Source organism: Homo sapiens, chromosome 16 (assembly GCF_000001405.40).
Source record: "Homo sapiens chromosome 16, GRCh38.p14 Primary Assembly".
NCBI classification, from domain to species: Eukaryota; Metazoa; Chordata; class Mammalia; order Primates; family Hominidae; genus Homo; species Homo sapiens.
Genome location: NC_000016.10, coordinates 30,071,624 through 30,092,179, shown reverse-complemented (window position 1 = coordinate 30,092,179; position 20,556 = coordinate 30,071,624). Strand labels below are relative to the sequence as shown.

Here is a 20,556-nt window from a genome sequence, read left to right as displayed (position 1 = left end):
CGGTTTCACTGCTGGCGGAGGTCCTGAGCCCACTCTGGCTGCCTACGCCGTGACCTCGGCTGATCTGCGTCTGCTCATCTGCAGCGTTTGGCCGCCGCCTAGGGGCAGCGTCCCAGGGAGGCAACCGCGCCGCCGGCCTCGCAGCCCCCTCGCGGTCGGACTGCAACTCCCAGCGGCCCCCGCGTGGTCCGTCCGGCTCCTTCGGGCGCGCCTCAGCGCTGAGCCTGCCGGGAAGTGTAGTTCCGAGGGTTCCCCAGCGCGGGACCTTCGGGAAACCCTGGCGCGAGGCGTCAGAAGCTGTCGGACTGTGAGCGCCTTCGAACTTTGGAGGCTTGGCTCGGGATGGAGGTTTTTTTAGCATGGGGACCAGGGAGGACTACGGTGCTCGGGACTGGGCTGCGGCCTCCTCGCGGCCCCGAGTGCCCTGTGAAATCAGCTCAGGCCGCGTCCCTCTAGCCTGCACTTTCCCTCTGTTCACGCTGCTTCCCTCCAGGGCCCGGCCTCCAAGTGAAGGGGGGCGGAGGGCGGTCACCTGCCAGAAGGTCTGGGGCGCCAAGGTGTGTCCCGGGACTCTTGGCTCCGTCCAGGTTCCAGGCCCCGCCCCCCAGCTTATCCCTAGCCGGGGCTCCCCACCGTGGGAACGGGGACCAGCTGGCCGGAAGCGCCAAACTGCGTCCCTGTCCGAGCCCTGGGGATCAATCAAGCCGAGGAGTTAATTATGTAATGAGGGGGCAGGGGGTCGAGGCTAATGAAGCCTCCCGGGGTGGGGAGGGAGGGGAGGAGGGGACCGTACCCAGGTATCCGACCCCCTCTCGGACCCCTTCGAGGCCCCAGGGGTCTCCACCCCAGCCCAACTCCAGGGCCCCAAAGAGGGGAGGGGCTGTGATCCTGGATCTGGAAGGGGCTGAGCTGTGAGCTATAAAGGGGGCATCTCGCAGCACCGGGGGCCCTAAGCAGCGAGACCTGAGGCCAGACGGAACTACAACATGTACCATCCACGAGAATTGTACCCGTCCCTGGGGGCCGGCTACCGCCTGGGGCCCGCCCAACCTGGGGCCGACTCCAGCTTCCCACCCGCCCTAGCGGAGGGCTACCGCTACCCCGGTGAGCGTTGGGACCAGCTCCTGGGTAGGAGAATAGGGGGGCTGTGGCCCTCGGCTGGCTCCTCATTCTTCCCCGGCTTCCAGAACTGGACACCCCTAAACTGGATTGCTTCCTCTCCGGGATGGAGGCTGCTCCCCGCACCCTGGCCGCGCACCCACCTCTGCCCCTTCTGCCCCCTGCCATGGGCACTGAGCCGGCCCCATCAGCTCCAGAGGCCCTCCATTCCCTCCCGGGGGTCAGCCTGAGCCTGGAGAACCGGGAGCTATGGAAGGAGTTCAGCTCTGTGGGAACAGAAATGATCATCACCAAAGCTGGGAGGTGAGGGGCTGGCCAGGGTCCGTGTTTCTGGTGGGGGTCTCTTGGGAAAGGCAGAGTCCCTGGGGAGGGGGCTAGGACTGGGTGGTTCCCGAGGGGCTAGAGCTCTGCCTAGGCCTAGAATCTGACTATGGCCTGGGGCAAGGGTTACTCTGTGGCAGGAATCAGGAGTCACTCTGTGACAAGGGTTAAGGGCCAGTCTGTGGAGTCTGTGGCTGAGTTTAGGGACCAATCTATGGCAAGGGTCATGGGTCAGTCTGGGGCAGGGTCAGGAAGTCCCTCTGGGTTATAGGTTAGTGTGTGGCTTAGACCAGCATCCAGACAAGGACAGGGGGTCAAGGGCCAGCCCATTGACCAGCATCAGGGAAATCTGGCCAGGATTCGGGATCAGTATGCAACTCGAATAGGAGTCAGTATATGACTAGGTCCAGGGTCACCCTAGAGGCAGGGACACGGTCAGTGTTTGACCTTAGATGAGGTCTTTAGCTGGGGCAGGAACTCAAGCCCTAGCATGGAAAGTCCTCGGCCCTACTGCAGGCAGGGTATATTTTTTCTAAAGCAAATTCATCTAAGAGCTGCAGATTCTGGTGCTGGAGATCAGGGGAGGAGAGGAGGGTGGGGACAGGAAGCTCCTAGCAAGAAAGTTAGTCACCCCTGCTTCTGCAAATAGGCTTTGAGGGGTAGGAGTCATGGCTCTGTTCCTAACCTGCTGTGTGACAGATCACTTAACCCGTCTGTCCTGTTTCCCCAAATGTAAAATGAGACAAGAAAACCTTCCAGCTCTAAGATTCCGCCCTCTGGCTTCTTTTTTTTTTTTTTTTTTTTTTTGAGATGGAGTCTCGCTCTGTTGCCCAGGCTAGAGTGTAGTGGCACGATCTCGTCAGCTCACCGCAACCTCTGCTTCCTGGATTCAAGCGATTCTCCTGCCTCAGCCTCCCGAGTAGCTGGGACTATAGGCACACACCACCACACCCGGCTAATTTTTGTAGTTTTAGTAGAGACGGTGTTTCACCATATTGGCCAGGCTGGTCTCAAACTTCTGACCTCATGATCCTTCCACCTCGGCTTCCTAAAGTGCTGAGATTACAGGCATGAGCCACTGCGCCTGGCCCTTTTTCATTTTTCAGAGACAGTGTCTTGCCCTGTTGCCCAGGCTGGAGTGCAGTGGTGCAATTGTGGCTCACTGTAGTCTTGACTTCCCAGGCTCAAGTGACCCTCCCGCCTCAGCCTCTGTAGTAACTGGGACTATCAGTGTGCACCACCATGCCTGGCTAATTTTTTAATTTTTTTGTAGAGATGGGGTCTTTCTATGTTGCCCAGGCTGGTCTTGAATTCCTGACTCAAGAGATCCTCCCACCTTGGCCTCCCAAAGTATAGGGATTAGAGGTGTGAGCCACAGCCTCCAGCCTGCCCTCTGGGTTCTAATTCCACCTCCTTTGATGTTTCTCTGACAGCTCTGGGGAGCCCGTTGTTATGTCCCGTTACTGGTGCTGGGCCCACCCCTGGCCAGTGGGTAGCTCCAGGCCTCTCCTGTCCCCTCCCTTGCACAGGCGCATGTTCCCTGCCTGCCGAGTGTCAGTCACTGGCCTGGACCCCGAGGCCCGCTACTTGTTTCTTCTGGATGTGATTCCGGTGGATGGGGCTCGCTACCGCTGGCAGGGCCGGCGCTGGGAGCCCAGCGGCAAGGCAGAGCCCCGCCTGCCTGACCGTGTCTACATTCACCCCGACTCTCCTGCCACTGGTGCACATTGGATGCGGCAGCCTGTGTCTTTCCATCGTGTCAAGCTCACCAACAGCACGCTGGACCCCCACGGCCACGTGAGGCCCAGGCTGGGACTCCAGGATAGGGTTGGGGGGTGCTGGAAGGGAGGCCAAGGGTGAGGCGCAGGGCAGGGAATCACTCCCATTTCCTCCCTCCCAGCTGATCCTGCACTCCATGCACAAGTACCAACCCCGCATACACCTAGTTCGGGCAGCCCAGCTCTGCAGCCAGCACTGGGGGGGCATGGCCTCCTTCCGCTTCCCCGAGACCACATTCATCTCCGTGACAGCCTACCAGAACCCACAGGTGAGTGACCCTGCTTGAGGGGGTGGTGGCCCCCTGCCCAGACCGCAGTTGCTTTGACCCTGCATGTGTGTCCCCAGATCACACAACTGAAGATTGCAGCCAATCCCTTTGCCAAAGGCTTCCGGGAGAACGGCAGAAACTGTAAGAGGTGGGAGTTGTTCATTCATTTGTTCATGCATTCAACAAATGTTTATTAATCACTCACTGTGTGCCAGGCACCGTGCTGGACATCAGAAATGCAGTGGTAAGTGAAAACATTCATTCACTGACTCAGCAAATACTTATATAGTACCTGCTATGTGCCAGGGACAGTTCCAGGCACTGGAGATAAAACAAACAAAGCAAACCAAAGCCCCGGCCCTCATGCAGCTGATTTCTAGTGGGGAGAGTAGACAAGCAGACAAGAGAAATAAATAAAATGTCATCTGTTAGGAAGCCATTCTAAAGAGAAGAGAGACCAGGTGTGGTGGCTCACGCATGTAATCCCAGCACTCTGGGAGGCTGAGGCGGGCAGATCACCTGAGGCCAGGAGTTCGAGACCAGCCTGCCAACATGGTGAAACCCTGTCTCTGCTAAAAATACAAAAATTAGCCAGGCATGGTGGCAAACGCCTGTAATCCCAACTACTTGGGAGGCTGAGGCAGGAGAATCTCTTGAACCCAGGAGGTGGAGGTTGCAGTGAGTCGAGATCATGCCATTGCATTCCAGCCTAGGCAACACGAGCAAAACTTCCTCTCAAAAAAAAAAAAAAAAAGAAAGAAAAGAAAACTCTGTCTCAAAAAAAAAAAAAAAAAGAAAAAAAAGAAAAAGGAGAAGAGAAATAAACCAGGAAAAGATAGGAAGGACTGGGGTGAGGTATTAGATAAGAGGCCTGGAAAGGCCTCAGTGGGAAGAAGACACTTGAGAAAGAGCTGAAGGAAGTACGGGAGGGAGCCAGGTGGGCATCTGGCAAAGCACACTAGGGAGTGGGAACAGCACGTGCAAAGGCCCTGAGGTGGGGCTGTGCCTGTGGCGTGGCTGCAGTGGAGTGACTAAGAGTCAGGCAGGGGAGGGGAAGCCAGGTTATGTCGGACAGTAAAGGTTCCGTAAGGCCGTGGGAACTGTTCCAAGTGCAGCACCTCAGAGCTGGCCCCTGCCCTCAAGTAGCTTCCAGTTTGTCAGAAGAGACAGACATGAACCAAGGAGTCACTCCATCAAATGCAAAAGCAGAACTGTGACGGATGTTATGAGGGAGGGGTGTGTGCTCTCGGAGGTCAGGGAGGACTTCCTTGAGGAACTTGCGCTTGCAGTGAGGCAAGGATAGGTTTGGTGGCTCATGCCTGTAGTCCCAGCACTTTCGGAGGCTGAGATGGAAAGATCACTTGAGCCCAGGAGTTGGAGGCTGCAGTGAGCTGTGACCTGTGACTGTGCCACTGCACTCCAGCCTGGGCAACATAGCAAGACCCCATCTCAAATTTTAAAAATGAAAAGAAAAAGGACAGGTTCAGCCCGTGAAGAGGGGACAGAAGAGGATTCCAGAGAGAGGCTGAGAGTGGAGATGGGGCAGAAAGATGAGCTAGGTGAGACTGTGCCCTGGCCTTGCCACTGGGAAGGAGTTTCCACTGATACTAAACACAATAGGAAAGCATGGACAAATTTGAGCAGGGACAAAATTCCAGCTCTGCCACTTTCTAGTTATTTAATTTTCTGGCCTTCAGTTTCTTCATCTATAAAATGGGTATAATGATGGCCCCTACCTGACAGGGTCCCTGGGAGGGTGAAATGCCTGGCACCGGGTAAGTACTGTTACCATCACCATGGCCATCACCATCATCATCATCATCACCACCACTGTTCCCCAGGGAGCGAGACGCCCGTGTGAAGAGGAAACTGCGGGGCCCAGAGCCAGCAGCCACAGAGGCCTATGGGAGCGGAGGTGAGTGTAGTCCCGATGGCGATGGGGCCAGGCCTGAGACAGGGATCCTCCCTAGCCCAACCTCTCCCTTCCCTCTCCCCAGACACACCAGGTGGTCCCTGCGACTCCACCCTGGGTGGAGACATTCGTGAATCAGATCCAGAACAGGCCCCAGCCCCCGGGGAAGCCACCGCTGCCCCGGCACCTCTGTGTGGTGGCCCCAGTGCTGAGGCCTACCTCCTGCACCCTGCGGCTTTCCATGGGGCCCCCAGTCACCTTCCCACCAGGTGAGTGGGACAGGGGACCAGGCGGGGCTGCGGGTCCCTCTGCCCTGCTCTGACATCCCTCTCTCCATGTCAGGAGCCCCAGCTTCCCGGAGGCTCCAGACTCCGGGCGCTCAGCCCCCTACTCGGCTGCATTTCTGGAGCTGCCGCACGGGTCAGGGGGCTCCGGGTACCCAGCGGCTCCACCGGCGGTACCCTTTGCCCCGCACTTTCTCCAAGGGGGCCCCTTCCCTCTACCATACACCGCGCCTGGGGGCTATCTGGATGTGGGCTCCAAACCCATGTACTGAACCACTGCTGGGCCCCTCTGCCTCCATCACAAACCTCCCGCTCCCTTCCCCCAGCCCTGGAGCCCCCTCACCTCCACCGGCCCCATCCCCCACACCAAATGGCCGCCTTGGGCCTGCCCACCCACCCCCTCAACTTCACACCTTGATTTCACTCCCACCCCCCTCTGGCTTCAAAGCCTAACCAAGGCTGCTGGGAGTCCAGCTGGGGCCGGCTTCCCCTTCCCGGCTCTCACCTCCGTGTGAATGGAAGGGGCTCTGCCTGGCCAAATGGGGCCACAGACCAGCATCCCCACTTACCAGGCCTCCCCATGGGCTCTGGAGGGGCTCAATCCCCACCCCCCCACACACACTGGTGCAGGCCACACCAGTCTGTTGTTCTGGGACCAGAGTATTTTTGTTAATAAAACTCAAAAGCCATCCATGCTCAGGAAACATTGGGCTCCTGTGTTTGGCCCTGGGCGGGGCTGGGTGAGCAAAGGCTTTGCTAGGAGACCCAGGCCCAGATCTAGACCTGTGTTTCCAGCTGCCTGACCTAGCACAAAATCCACTGGCCCTCTAGGCCCATCTCCTCTTCAGGAAAATGGAGAAATCAGAATCCTGTGATTCTGTGTGTGCCTGTGTGTGTATGCTGTTAATAAGATAAGGCTGCCCATGAGAACAGAGCCCTCTCCCTAGGGCTGGGGAAGCCAGCAGGCAGCGGCCCCTGGAGGCCCTGGGCAAGCTGACTGGCCTGAGCCTGGCCCTCTTGGCAGGTCGGGGCCCTGAGGCAGTCAAGGCCCTGACGTCCACCCCAGGTCCCAGGCCAGCAACCCTGTGCATTCCCAACCAAGTCTGGCACAAACCCAAAAACCATTTTTCTTCTTTTATTAGAATTTTTTCATTTTTTTTCTCAAAATTTTTATCTAAAAACAAACAGAAAAAAGAAGGAAAAAAAGAAAAAAAAATTATTGGAAACTTCATGGTTCAAGTGGGGAGAGAGGAGGAGGAACATGGAGCTAGGTCTCCAGGCCTCTCCAGAGAAGTCCTCACCCTCGAAGCACCCTCTTGGGGGACAGCAGAGCCAGGACAGCCCCCCCCACGCCCAGCCTCCGTCTGAGGAAGATGGCAGAGTCACAGTGGTGCGAGGGCCAGAAGGGTTGGAGGGGGCAGGGGCCGGGCGGGGTCACAGGAAGTAGTCGGCCACGGGCTTCTTGGAGGGGATGCCCCGTGTCTCTTGGGGAGCAGCCTCAAAGATGATGAAATCTTTCTGGAGATGCTCGTCCAGCTCCAAGATGGCTGCCACATTCCCACAGCTGGAAGGCGGGGCAGCAGGGTCAGGAGCAGCTCGGCTCAGATGCCCGCCCATCCCAGCCCGGCCCAGCCGGCTCACCGGTAGCAGTAGTTGGGTGCCGACCACACAGTGAGCACCGTCTCATTGAAGTGCCACTTGTAACCTTCCATCACCAGTTGGTGGGCACGGCAGATCATGTCAATGTCATTGGCTGCGTTGAACTGGGCCACCACGTCACTGCCAAATAGGTAGCCGGCTCCTCGGGGGCTCACGCCCCAGCCTGTGGTGTCTGATGCGGAAAGGGAGGGATGGAGAGGGATGTCCTCAGGCTTCTCTGGCTGCCAGCGCTGCCCCTTGAGGGTGAGCAGCCTGGCCCCTCCCCAAGTCCACCAGAGGCCCGTGGGACCAGAGCATGGGGCCTGAATATGGTCTGTGGGATGGCGGGGACCAGGACAGCAAATGTAGGGGCAGATAAGCTCCAGAGGAGAAAGAACGCCCAATGCCTGGGGCCCCCTCATAATCACAGTGATCATACAATCCCCGTCCAAACAGCACATAAGAGTGAAAGGGGCACTCCCAGAGACAGAAGGGCACCCTGTGTTGTCACAGGGAGGTCCGGAGTGACTGTGGAGCAGCGGCTGCATGTGTGTGTCTGCATGTGTGTGTCTGTATGTGTGTGGCTGTGATGGAGCAGAGGCCTCGTGTGCGTGTGTGTGGCTGTGATGGAGCAGAGGCTATGTGTATGTGTGTGTGTGTCTGCGCTGGAGCAGAGGCTGCCTGTGCGTGTGTGCCTGTGACAACAGGAACTCTGGCTGGTCCTCAGAAGACCTGACTTTAAATCTCAGCTCTGCTCTACACTAGTGGAAAACCCACAAAATGAGGGGTCTCAGGGGGCTACCATTCTGGGGTTCTGACCTCTGAAGAAGCTGCTGTCATGTTCTAAGGCCCCTTCACTTCAGGGAGCCATGACTTGGTTGTCCTCCACAGCCCTCTGGGCCATGCCCCAAGCCACTGTGTGCTCAAAGCACCTGCCATGCAGGCCTCCCTGCTCCTCCTCCAGGGTTCCAGCCATTTGGCAGGTGGAGGACGAGTGACAGTGAAGACCAGCCCTGCTCCCTCTCTTTCCCAACCCCTCCTGGCTGTCCCTGCCTGCCCCTGCCCACATGCCCTCACCTTCTGGGTCAGACCAGAGGAGGTCACACATGGGCCCATCATGAGGCACCTCTTGCTTTCGGTCGATTGTCCGAATCTGATCCAGGGTCTGGATGGAGGGGGAGAGGCCCCCGTGCACGCAGAAGATCTACAGGGGAGAGCAGGGAAAGAGGACGGGGCTGAGGCCTGAAGCCCCCCTCCTCTCCCTGTCCCATGGAGCCCTGGGCTGGCTTACCTTGCCATCGATGATGGCTGACAGGCTGAGGTAGTCAAAGATCTCAGTGCAGTAGCGCCACACAGTCACCGAGCCGTACTTGCGCAGGCACTCATCGTAGAAGCCATAGACCTGCGTGATCTGGCGACTCTCATGGTTGCCCCGGATCAGTGTGATGCGATCAGGATAGCGAACCTGGGGGTGGCCACCAAGCCAGGGCTGGCGCCTAGACGGTCTCTCCACACATCCCTCTCTGACCTCCTCGTGCCCGCCAGCCTGCCATCCTCACAACCACTGCCCAGCACACTCCTGGCACCTCTTGCCTGAATCGTGTGGCATCAGCCACCTCCCAGGCCCACACGACCCCTCCAGAGAATGTAAAGCTGACCCATTCCCTCAACTATGAACCTAATGGCTCTTCTTTCACCTACCAGACACAGACCGGGTCCCTAGCAAGGCACCCAGGCCCTTTGTCATCTGGCCCCACACTGCCTCTCCCACCAGTGGCATCAATGACCTGCCACATTCGCAACAGTGAGCCTCTGCCCCTCCCAGAATGCTGCCCCGCTGGCCTCAACCCCCATCAAGTCTCTGACCACCCCCAAAAGCAGAATCGGTCCATCACCAGTGACACAGCTCCAAGGTGGGGCTGGTCACGATAGGAGATGAGGGCGGAACGGACTAAGACAGGCCCGGCCCGAGGTCGCCCAGGTTGGGGGTGCAGAAGCCGGGGACTGCCACCTTAAGTGCCAGCAGCAGGAGGAACGTTTCGACGCTATAGAAGCCACGGTCCACAAAGTCCCCCATGAAGAGGTAGTTGGTCTCAGGGACGTCGCCACCTACCTGTGGGGAAGTAGAAAGTTTTGCCCTGTCGTAAACAGTCCCCTACCCCCTACCTGTTTCTGTCCAGCGGAGGCCCTTCTTCCACAACCACCCATCTAACTTGGGGCCCCTTGCCCCCACTCCACGCCCCAAATTAAGGCTCCCACCCTCAATTACAGGGGTCTTCCAGTCATCCCCCCGTTACATTTCACAGTGTTGGCCACACTCTTACTCTGAACAGCTCTTTGAGGTCATAGAATTGTCCATGGATGTCGCCGCACACCTGGGGAACAGGAAGAGTGGGGTTGGAACTCAAGCAGTGGGAGTTGCCAGGGACTACCCTCCAAACACCCGCTGCTTTAGTGAGCTTTATCACTCTTGGCTGCACTTCTACTTCCTAGGACCAAAATTCTCCTCTCCCACCCCAAGTCAGTCTGGTCTGGAACCATACCCACTGTCCTATGCTGAGTACCAACTATTCTGTAGGCAAGAGCTAGAACTAAGTCCTTCCAGGTAGATGTCCCGGCCCCTTCCTCTCTCTACTCCCCACAAAGTACCCAGAATCAAGTTACTAACACAGAGCCCTGGAGATATGTGAGCAGAATCACTCGCCAAATAGGAGTCCTTCTGCCCTGGCCAAGAATCTCCACTAACAAATCCAAAGTCCCTTCCCATAACCCCTTTCTTTTCTTTCCTTTCTTTTTTTTTTTTTTAGACGGAGTCTCACTCTGTCGCCTAGCCTGGAGTGCGGTGGCGCGATCTCGGCTCACTGCAAGCTCCGCCTCCTGGGTTCACGTCATTCTCCTGCCTCAGCCTCCCGAGTAGCTGGGACTACAGGTGTCCACCACCACACCTGGCTAATTTTTTTGTATTTTTAGTAGAGATGGGGTTTCACCATGTTAGCCAGGATGGTCTCGATCTCCTGACCTCATGATCCACCTGCCTCGGCCTCCCAAAGTGCTGGGATTACAGGCGTGAGCCGCCGCGCCCGGCCTGTTTTTTTTGTTTTTTTTTGTTTTTTTTTGAGACGGAGTCTCCCTCTGTCACCCAGGCTGGAGTGCAGTGGCCTGATCTCAGCTCACTGCAATCTCCAACTCTGGGGTTCAAGCGATTCTCCTGCCTCAGCCTCCCAAGTAGCTGGGATTACAGGCACGTGCCACCACGCGTGGCTAATTTTTGTATTTTTAGTAGAAACGGTTTCACCATGTTGGCCAGGCTGGTCTCGAACTCCTAACCTCAAGTGATGTGCCCACCTTGCCCTCCCAAAATGCTGGGATCACAGGTGTGAGCCAACGTGCACAGCAACCCCCACTTCTTTTAGCAGTGCTCCGTTGAAGGTGAGGGAAAGGACAGATAAAAGAGCTTAGGGTTGGGCTTATAGAGCCCCCAAGATGAAGAGGAAACTTCATGTGCCTGAAAGACCAGGCCTGGCTCTGCAGGGACAGCAGGTACTCACTGTGACTGGCGAGTCCACCCTCTGCACGTTGCTCTCCTCTACCAAGATCTCTCTGGAGACAGGAGAAGACCAGGGTCACCACAGCCAGGCCAGCCCAGCCCAATTCCTGACCTTTTTTGGGGGGAGGGGAGGATATGAGGCAGTCCTGGAAGCTCCAGGGGGCAGGAGTGAAGCGTACAGTCTCCCCAAAACAGGCTGACCACGGCCCTTCAGCATGCAACACCCTTCCGTGGCCCCCTGCTGCCAAAAGGACAAAGTCCAACCTCTTATCCCAGCGTTCCAGGCCTTCTGAGCAGGCTGGGACTTTTCCAGCCCTGACTCCCCCTGCCGCTCCCTCTTCCGCATCCAGGACTCACTCCTGGGAGGCGGGTCTCCCCATCCTCTCCACAGCAGAGCTTAAGTCACCCTTGGCCAATCACAGAGCCCTTCTCCCAGGCTATCCAGACACAAGGGTAGGTGCCCAGGGCAGGCCCACAGTGGATGCGCCTTCAAAGTGATGCGCTCTTGGCCAGGTGCGGTGGCTCATGCCTGTAATCCCAGCACTTTGGGATGCCAGGGTGGGCAGATCACGAGGTCAGGAGTTTGAGACCAGCCTGACTAACATGGTGAAACCCTGTCTCTACTAAATATACAAAAATTAGCCAGGCGTGGTGGCGCGTGCCTGTAATCCCAGCTACTTGGGAGGCTGAGGCAGGAGAATCGCTTGAACCTGGGAGGTGGGGGCTGCAGTGAGCTAAGATCGCGCCACTGCACTCCAGCCTGGGCGACAGAGCAAGACTTCATCTCAAAAAAAAAAAAAAAAAAGTGAGGTGCTCTTGCCATGTGTTCAGTATTTCTTTATGACTATGAGGACTTAAATATTTTTTATTTCTCCTTGCAGTGCAGTCTACTTCTACTTGAGTGAGCAGGAGATGAAATCACTTTGCCAGGTAAGACACCCAATTTTTTTTTTTTTTTTTTTTTTTTGAGACAGAGTCTGGCTCCATTGCCCAGTCTGGAGTGCAGTGGCGCCATCTTTGCTCACTGCAAACCTCTGCTTCCTGGGTCAAGTGATTCTCCTGCCTCAACCTCCCGAGTAGCTGGGATTAGAAGCATGTACCACCACGCCCAGCTAATTTTTGTATTTTTAGTAGAGTCGAGATTTCACTATGTTGCCCAGGCTGGTCTCGAACTCCTGACCTCAAGTGATCTACCCACCTTTGCCTCCCAAAGTGCTGGGATTACAGATGTGAGCCACTGCACCCAGCCTATAGATACCCAATTTAAGCAACACTGTATTTCCAAATTTTGCCTGGTAATAGCAGCAGTGAACATTCGAGCTCATACTGTGTGCCACAAATGTTATTAAGAGCTTGGCAGGCAGGTACTATGATGATTCCCGGTACACAGATGAAGAAATTGAAGCAGGGAAGGAGGCTGGCTTGGTGCCAGTGACACAGGTGGGATATGAACCAGGGAAGCCTGGCTCTGGGGTCTGACTCTTTATCAAGATATTCTGATGTGGGAGGCCCAACTCGCCTGGCCCCCCTCTTTCTGCCAATCTCTTCCCTTAGAATGAGTTTCCTGAGCTCAGTGGACAGGAGGATTCACTTATGCCCCTTGCTCTGTATGGCAGAGGCAGCACGAAGGAGGTCTGCCCTGGCTTTCTGGGAACAGAAGGCAGCACTGGCGGTGGTCCAAGAGGCCACATCAGTACCCGGACTCTCCCACCTGCACTGCTTCTTGTGCTGAACATCCTTCCCCATCAACTGCTCATAGTGACCTTTCCAACAGACTGGGGAGGTTCTCTTCAGCCTCACGTAACAGTAAAGAAACCGAAGCTAGGCCGGGCGCGGTGGCTCATGCCTGTAATCCCAGCACTTTGGGAAGCCAAGGCAGGCAGATCATGAGGTCAAGAGATTGAGACCATCCTGGCCAACATGGTGAAACCCCGTCTCTAGTAAATATACAAAAATTAGCTGGGCATGGTGGCGCGTGCCTGTAATCCCAGCTACTTGGGAGGCTGAGGTAGGAGAATCACTTGAACCTAGGAGGTGGAGGTTGCAGTGAGCCAAGATCAGGCCACTGGCACTCCAGCCTGGGCAACAACAGCAAAACTCTGTCTCAAAAAAAAAAAAAAAGAAAAAAAGAAACCAAAGCTTACAGAAAAGCGGGAGGGTCAAGGTCACCAAGCTGGAGAGTGGCTAAATTGGAACCCAGAAGCCCAATTTCCTGAGAATTTATGCCAGCCCCTTCCACAGACCCTGAGTGAAAACCTGAAGCCCAGGGAGGTCACATGCAGGGCCCGTGCTCTCTGCAAAGCCCCCCTCAGTGCCAGCGCAACCCCAGTGTGGCCTGGGAATCAGGCCCAGATTCCAGCCCCAGTTCTGCCACTTGCAGCACTTCCCCAGCCCTATCAGGACCTGCCTGCAGTAACGGCTACCAGCGCAGCAGGCCCTGTGCCCGGATACCCGGACTCTCAACTGCATGTCATTATCACTTCAAAAAATCAGAAAGTGACTTGACGAGGGTCATATTGCTTCTAGGTGACAAGGCAAAGATTCATACTGAAGACCACCTGATTCAAAAGCTCAGCTCTCCTACTGTGCTAATATTTCTAGTAGCAGCAATTTCAGCTCAGACACTGCGGACCTCTGTGCTTCCACTGGTTTCATCTGCATGTCTGTGCCCTCTAGGCAAGCTGGTGCTCTTGACACCACCAGCCTCAGCCTGGGTCTCTGATGGGTCCCCAGGAGGCCATAACCAGGTATCAGAGATGGCCCTGCTTCAGACTGAGCCTGGGACAACAGCGGCCAACTCAGGCCTTGGCCTAGTACCTCCTAGTTCCACTCAGTTTCAACTGGGCAGGACCCTCCACCCCTCAGCCTTCCATGGCTTCCTGCTGCCTCACACCCCACATCAAAATCTAAATGCCTCTGCCTGGCTCTCAGTGACCACGGAGCACAGTCAAAGACCTGGATGCAAAACTAACTTCCCCTCCGACTAGCTGCGTGATGTTGGGCAAGACATTATCTACTCAAAGGCTCAGTTTCCTCTGCTATGAAATGGGGCTAAGTACTCAGCCCACCCTGCGTATTCCTTAGGCTGTTGCAAGGAGCCATGGAGACTGAATATACGACTTCCTGCTATTCTGCAAACTCCAGCATGCTATCTAAGCTTTGTCTACCATCACCACCACACTGATCCAGGGCCCGTGAGGGAGACAATACTTCGAGGTTAAAGAATAGTGCCAGGCAACAACAGGTTTAAGTTCCTAAAAATGCCAATCAGGACTGAGGGAAAGGGGACAACTAAAAACACCATGGGGCTGGTCTGGTCAGCTGGCAAAAGAGAAAAGCCACAGACAGGTGGCGAAAAAGAGGCCGACCCTGCTCATCATCCCCTCACAGGCCCTGTCTGGCTGCAGGTAGTCTATGTGAGGCAGGGCCAGGCAAAGAGCCTGAGGGCCACAGATTCAGGACCCAGCTCTGCCACGTCCTCAGTGGGTGACCTCAGTTAAGTCACCAGACCTCTACGAGTCATGGCTTCCTATTCGATAAAATGCAGCAAATGATTCCAACCTCATAGGATTGCTGGGGGGAAGAGATGGATAGAAGTTTTTTGCCAGTACCGGGCCAGGCCAAATAGTGGCCCTGTAAAGGCCAATGTTTACTGTTCAATAAACGTAGGGTAATTCTGTGGGCTCTTCTGCCACAATTCTCCAGCCTGGTAGAAGCCACAATCACACAGTTCCCCAGAGGAGGCAGGTAATTAAACCCCTGACTGTTCCCCACGCATCTCAGGGCCTCCACTGTTACATTCGTCCTGCTTGGAATGCCCTTCCCTCACTGGCCCTGCCTCCATCAGCTAGCCAAATTATCTTCATCCTTCAAGGCCTACCTCCACTCAAAAGCCCTCCCTGATGGCTTTAGCCCATCTCATTATTGCCCTCTTCCAAAAGAAATAGAATACCTGGTGATTATCAAGCACGTATGCTGTACCAAAACACTGTGCTAACCTCATCTCCAGCACCAACTCACTGAATCTTCACAATCATCTTATTAAGTACTATTAATTCTGCTTTACAAATAAAGACACTTAAGATTACTAACACAGCTAGAAAGCGGCAGAGTTCAGATTCAAACCTAGAGCCATCTCACACTGCAAAACCTAGAGCCTTAACCACTACATCATCCTACTTCCCACAGAACTCTGAACTGGCCTCCCTATCGTGCTTAATTCTACCCTGGCTTACTTGCTACGATTTCTCAGGCTCCCACCCTGAACGTGAATGATCCAACTCCACCTTTTTGCATTATGGCCTGAAAAAGGACAGGACACTAAGAGCTGGCTTCAGACCCCATTCCTTACTTGTGGGTAACTTTGAACATGAAAGTTCCCACCTGTAAAATGAGTACAATACCACCAATCTTTAAGGGTTGTTGTAATTAGAAGACTTTTATAAATCACAGGGTCTTTAACTTTCCTGTCTTAAACTTTTGGTTTTTGGCTGACTCTTTTACCACCTCCTTATTCGAGGCCTCTCCCACAGTTCGGCCCCCCTCCAACAAGCTTCCGTCCCCCGACAGATGGACTTGTTTCCTTGAGTTTCCTAAGTACTTTATGTAACACTCTTACTCCACTGGAAACACATCGTCTAATAAACTTTAAGTGTCTTTATCCACTCTGTCTTCCCCGAGCAGGCTAGCTTTTCCTCGAGGGCAGCGGCTCCATCCTGCTCCTCTCTGGGAAAGCTTCCAGAACGAGGCAAGCCCAAAGTTCTCAGTTGGGTTTGCCCCAGGCCAGAACCCGTGGGCGGCGGCTTGGCCTCCCTTCCCCAGGGCCAACGAGCTCACCTGGCCTTAGCGCACAGGGCCTTGACTTCGCTCTCCTTGATGAGCTCGCAGCGACGCAGCTGCTCGATCTGCCGGTCCAGGTCGCTGATCTCCGCCATGGCCCACCCCCGGCGCGGGTCAGAGTCGGGGCCGCCGCCCCCTCCGCACCGCACAGGGGTCTCCTGGGAAAGGCCAAGACGAGCCCGCGGATCAGTGTCCGTCCGGGGCTCGGAGCGGACAACTCGATTCTAGAGCCGGCCCGGCTCCCCCACCCCCGCCTCCCCTCACATCGGCCCCAGGACCCCCCGGCGTCCAACGGCCTGGCCGCACCCCCGCTAACTCCCGTCGAACCCCGCGGTCCCGCGCTAAGGACGGTGACTTAGAGGAGTCTCGCACTATTACCGCCGCTGCGACTCCGGTTCCGGCTCTCCGGCTCCCTGCCTCCCTCTTTCACTCCGCTTTCGACCGCCGCCGCCGCCGCCGCCGCCGCTCCTACTTCCGGCCCCGCCGCGGAAGCAAAGGAGGCCAGTTCCGCCGCGCGCCGGATGTGGCGTCATACACGCTCCTCTCCTTTCGCAGCGACCCCTGCACCACTTCTCCAGCCTGAGATCGGGAAGGAGGTGGAGGAACCCGGTGGCGGCCAGTGGCAGTTTTGTGGGCTCTGCCGCTGGGCGATGTGGAGGCTATTAGAAACCCTAGACCAGTCCCCTCCCATATCATTTCATAAAAATGTTTAAACAACTGTCTTTTCTTTTTTTGAGACGGAGTTTTGCTGTTGCCCAGGCCGGGGTGCAATGGCACGAACTCGGCTCACCGCAACTTCCGCCTCCCGGGTTCCAGCAATTCTCCTGCCTCAGCCTCCTGAGTAGCTGGGATTACAGGCATGCGCTACCACGCTGGGCTAATTTTGTATTTTTAATAGAGACGGGGTTTCTCCATGTTGGTCAGGCTGGTCTCTAACTCCCTACCTCAGGTGATCCGCGCCCCCACCCACCACCACCCTTCGGCCTCCCAAAGTGCTGGGATTACAGGCGTGAGCCACCGCGCCCGGCCACAACTTTCTTTTTTCTAAATTAGAGACAGGGTCTCGCTCTATCGCTCAGGCTGGAGTCGGTGGGGCTATCATAGGTCACTGTGACCTCGAACTCCTGGGCACAAGCTATCTTCCCGCCTCGGGCCTCCCAAAGTGCTGGGATTACAGGCGTGAGCCACCGCGCCCGGCCATCCCCCATTTCAGCTAGGGAAACAAGCCGAGCTGGGGCTAGGCTTTGTAACTTTATTACACTTTTTTTTTTTAACATTACACTTTTTTTTTAATGTTACACATTTTTGTTACTTGTTTTGTCAGCCTTCCCCACCACAGTCCTTGGAGGATCCAACTTTGTCTTTTTAAATATTGCAGCCCCAGTGGTTAGAATAAGGCCTGGCACGGTAGGCATATATAGATACTTGTTAATACTTGTTCAATGGATGAGGGAAGCCAAGTTCAGATCTCTTCCTGTGCCGTCAGAGAAATATTTGCCGTGGACAACTTCAGAAGTTAACAGATTGGAGTCCACTTTTCCCACGCCAAGCCTGTGCCTCAGTCAGCATGACTTCTCTGATTCCAAAATGGCACTCTTGACATTTCTTAGTTGCTTCCGTTTTTCTTTTTGAGACAGAGTCTCACTCTCTCGCTCTGTCGCCCAGGCTGCAGTCCAGTGGCGCCATCTCGGCTCACTGCAAGCTCCGCCTCCCGGGTTCACGCCATTCTCTTGCCTCTGCCTCCTGAATAGCTGGGACTACAGGCGCCCGCCACCAGGCCCGGCTAATTTTTTTGTATTTTTTAGTGGAGACGGGGTTTCACCGTGTTAGCCAGGATGGTCTCGATCTCCTGACCTCATGATCCACCTGCCTCAGCCTCCCAAAGTGCTGTACCACAGGCGTGTACCACCGTGCCCGGCCTCTTTTTTTTTTTTTTTTTTTTTTTTTGAGACGGAGTCTTGCTTTTTCACCCCGACTGGAGTGCAGTGGCACAATCTCGGCTCACTGCAACCTCCGCCTCCCAGGTTCAAGCGATTCTCCTGCCTCAGCCTCCCAAGTAGCTGGGATTACAGGCATGTGCCACGACGCCTGGCTAATTTTTGTATTTTCATTTATTTATTTTTTTAAGACAGAGCCTTCCTTGCTCTTGTCGCCCAGGCGGGAGTGCAGTGGAGCGATTTTGGCAAACCGCAACCTCCGCCTCCTGGGTTCAAGCAATTCTCCTGCCTCAGCCACCTGAGTAGCTGGGATTACAAGCACCCGTCACCACGCCCAGCTAATTTTTGCATTTTTAATAGAGACGGGGTTTCACCATTTTGGTCAGGCTGGTCTCGAACTCCTGACCTCAGGTGATCCACTCTCCTCGGCCTCGGAAAGTGCTGGGATTACCAGCTTGAGCCACCGTGCCTGGCTTCTTAGTTGCTTTCTATTAAGTTTTGTGCCTTTTTTAAGAGGAGGAAACTGGCTCAGAGGGGTTAAATAACTTGTTCATTGCTTGTATAACAGTGGATTGGGGATGTTACACTGAAATTTGAATCCGGGGCTAGGTGTGGTGGCTCAAGCATGTAATCCCAGCACTTTGGGAGGCCGAGGCGAATCACTTAAGCCCAGGAGTTCAAGACCAGGCTGGGCAACAGAGTGAGACCCAGTCTATAAACAAAAAGAATAAGAAACTTGGGCTGGGCGCGGTGGCTGACGCCTGTAATCCCAGCACTTTGGGAGGCTGAGGCGGGCGGATCACGAGATCAGGAGATCGAGACCATCCTGGCTAACATAGTGAAACCCCGTCTCTACTAAAAATACAAAAAAATAGCTGGGCGTGGTGGCGGGCGCCTGTAGTCCCAGCTACTTGGGAGGCTGAGGCAGGAGAATGGCGTGAACCCAGGAGGCAGAGCGTGCAGCGAGCCAAGATTGCGTCACTGGACTCCAGCCTGGGCAACAGAGCGAGACTCTGTCTCAAAAAAAAAAAAGAAAGAAATTTGAACCTGGCTGTGTGTGGTGGCTCACACCTGTAATCCCAGCACTTTGGGCAGCCGAGGCAGGTGGATCACCTGAGGTCAGGAATTCAAGATCAGCCTGACCAACATGGTGAAACCCTGTCTATCCTAAAAAATAAAAAATAATAATAATTAGGTTTGGTGATGCGCTTGTAGTCCCAGCTACCTGGGAGGCTGAGGCAGGAGAATCGCTTGAACCCAGGAGGCGGGGGTTGCAGTGAGCCGAAATTGTGACACCGCACTCCAGCTTGGACAACAGAGTGAAATGCTGTCTCAAAAAAAAAGAAATTTGAACTCAGAAAGTTGTGTCCTCAGGTGTAGTTTTTTTTTCTATCAATTACTCTTTCGGGAACTCAGATTATCATAAAATTAAGAGGTCCAGGCCAGGCATGGTGGCTCACGCCTGTAATCTTAGCACTTTGGGAGGCCAAGGCAGGCGGATTACCTGAGATTGGGGGTTCAAGACCAGCCTGGCCAACATGGTGAAACCCCGTCTCTACTAAAAATACAAAAAATTAGCCGGGTGCAGTAGCGTGCACCTGTAATCCCAGCTACTCTGGAGAGGCTGAGGCAGGATAATCGGTTTGAACCCGGGAGGCAGAGGTTGCAGTGAGCCCAGATCGTGCCACTGCCCTCCGGCCTGGGCTACAGAGCGAGACTTCGTCTCAAAATAAATAAATAAATAAAAGTCCAAATCCCCCAAACTGGTATATGACGTTCTCTGCTTCTCTAGTCTTTTTTATTTTTTTTTTTTTGAGACGGAGTCTCGCTCTGTTGCCCAGGATGGAGTGTGGTGGCACAATCTTGGCTCAGCGCAACCTCCACCTCCTAGATTCAAGCGACTCTTCTTGCCTCAGTCTCCCGAGTAGCTGGGACTACAGGCGCGCGCCACCATGCCCAGCTAATTTTTGTATTATTAGTGGAGACGGGGGTTTCACCACATTGGCTAGGCTGGTCTTGAACTCCTGACCTCGTGATCCGCCGGACTTAGCCTCCCAAAGTGCTAGGATTACAGTTGTGAGCCACCGTGCCCGGCTGAAACTATTGATCTTTAAACAATCTCTCCAGTCTCTGAGACTCTGCACATGTTCCCTTTTGGAATGCCCCCTTTGCCATCTTCTACCGACCTTCAATTTTTATTTGCTTTACTTCAGTGTTTGTTTCCCAGAGTTGAATGAGCTAGGCAGACAAATTAATCCAAAGTTTAGAGGGATAATAGTGATTGGTTTTGTTTTAGATGTAAGCAATAAAAGCAAAATAAGCAGAAAAGGGAAGGACCAAGTTTTATTTTTATTTTTTGGGACGGAGTCTGGCTCTGTTGCCTAGGCTGGAGTGCAGTGGCACAATCTCGGCTCACCATTACCTCTGCCTCCTGGGTTCAAGCAATTCTCCTGCCTCCGCCTCCCAAGTAGTTGAAACTACAGGTGTGCGCCACTATGCCCGGCTAATTTTTGTATTTTTAGTAGACACAAGGTTTCACTATGTTGTCCAGGCTGGTCTCAAACTCCTGACCTCATGATCCGCCCACCTTGGTCTCCCAAAATGATGGGATTATAGGCGTCAGCCACCGCACCCGGCCTAGGACCAAGTTTTTATACTCCTAGAAGGTTCTAGGTAACTCCGTTCTACCTGAATCACTGCAGAGATTCTCTAGGTCCAGAGAGCTGATGTAGTTACTGTACACCCCAGCCTGGGTCATTGGGGAAAGGCTCAAAGTAATGGCATGGCACGCTCATTCTAGCTTCATGGAAAGCAGCAGCTACAGAGACACAGTTCTTCACCTGGAGCCTGAGCTCTACAGCTTAACTTCTGTATCTGCATTACCAAGGGGGTATTGGAAACAATTCAAGGTT

At 54.7% G+C, this 20,556-nt stretch overlaps 2 protein-coding genes across 10 annotated transcripts, besides 6 other annotated features; one reads left to right on the top strand and one right to left on the bottom strand.

The window, feature by feature from the left end:
• Positions 7-266: a silencer, noted in NCBI's record as "silent region_7352". NCBI's record gives its function as "represses an Ori minimal core promoter by ATAC-STARR-seq in GM12878 lymphoblastoid cells {active_cell/tissue: GM12878}" and the evidence as "EXISTENCE:reporter gene assay evidence [ECO:0000049][PMID:35858748]".
• Positions 256-6,387, top strand: TBX6 (T-box transcription factor 6). 4 transcript variants are annotated; one of them, NM_004608.4, is made up of 9 exons: positions 256-307; positions 939-1,104; positions 1,188-1,422; positions 2,970-3,237; positions 3,341-3,487; positions 3,565-3,635; positions 5,329-5,402; positions 5,485-5,668; positions 5,742-6,387. In NM_004608.4, the coding sequence occupies exons 2-9, from the start codon at positions 987-989 to the stop codon at positions 5,953-5,955; spliced, it is 1,311 nt and encodes a 436-aa protein (NP_004599.2). In that variant the 5' UTR covers positions 256-307; positions 939-986; the 3' UTR covers positions 5,956-6,387. The 4 variants fall into 4 exon arrangements, 3 of the variants coding, with proteins under 3 accessions (NP_004599.2, XP_011544228.1, XP_047290507.1); XM_011545926.4 differs by lacking the exon at positions 256-307 and adding an exon at positions 646-720; XR_007064904.1 differs by lacking the exons at positions 256-307; positions 5,742-6,387 and adding an exon at positions 646-720 and having other exon boundaries at positions 5,231-5,402; positions 5,485-5,577.
• Positions 919-1,792: an enhancer, noted in NCBI's record as "H3K4me1 hESC enhancer chr16:30101709-30102582 (GRCh37/hg19 assembly coordinates)". NCBI's record gives its function as "activates a minimal SCP1, AML or CMV promoter by ChIP-STARR-seq in naive H9 embryonic stem cells {active_cell/tissue: H9 hESC(naive)}" and the evidence as "EXISTENCE:reporter gene assay evidence [ECO:0000049][PMID:30033119]".
• Positions 6,516-6,680: a silencer, noted in NCBI's record as "fragment chr16:30096821-30096985 (GRCh37/hg19 assembly coordinates)". NCBI's record gives its function as "represses an EF-1alpha promoter that drives an FKBP-Casp9 reporter gene in an ReSE screen in K562 erythroleukemia cells {active_cell/tissue: K562}" and the evidence as "EXISTENCE:reporter gene assay evidence [ECO:0000049][PMID:32094911]".
• PPP4C (protein phosphatase 4 catalytic subunit) lies at positions 6,804-16,186 on the bottom strand. Of its 6 annotated transcripts, none has more exons than NM_001303503.2 (9): positions 16,080-16,186; positions 15,705-15,865; positions 10,870-10,921; positions 9,646-9,696; positions 9,333-9,434; positions 8,613-8,786; positions 8,399-8,525; positions 7,325-7,514; positions 6,804-7,247 (listed from the first exon to the last, which is right to left on the bottom strand). In NM_001303503.2, exons 2-9 carry the CDS (start codon positions 15,800-15,802, stop codon positions 7,118-7,120), a joined length of 924 nt encoding a protein of 307 aa, NP_001290432.1. In that variant the 5' UTR covers positions 15,803-15,865; positions 16,080-16,186; the 3' UTR covers positions 6,804-7,117. The 6 variants fall into 6 exon arrangements, with proteins under 6 accessions (NP_001290432.1, NP_001290435.1, NP_002711.1 ...); NM_001303506.2 differs by having other exon boundaries at positions 10,870-10,980; positions 16,086-16,186; NM_002720.3 differs by having other exon boundaries at positions 16,086-16,186.
• Positions 15,573-15,662: an enhancer, noted in NCBI's record as "active region_10689". NCBI's record gives its function as "activates an Ori minimal core promoter by ATAC-STARR-seq in GM12878 lymphoblastoid cells {active_cell/tissue: GM12878}" and the evidence as "EXISTENCE:reporter gene assay evidence [ECO:0000049][PMID:35858748]".
• Positions 15,773-15,912: a silencer, noted in NCBI's record as "silent region_7351". NCBI's record gives its function as "represses an Ori minimal core promoter by ATAC-STARR-seq in GM12878 lymphoblastoid cells {active_cell/tissue: GM12878}" and the evidence as "EXISTENCE:reporter gene assay evidence [ECO:0000049][PMID:35858748]".
• Positions 17,285-17,464: an enhancer, noted in NCBI's record as "active region_10688". NCBI's record gives its function as "activates an Ori minimal core promoter by ATAC-STARR-seq in GM12878 lymphoblastoid cells {active_cell/tissue: GM12878}" and the evidence as "EXISTENCE:reporter gene assay evidence [ECO:0000049][PMID:35858748]".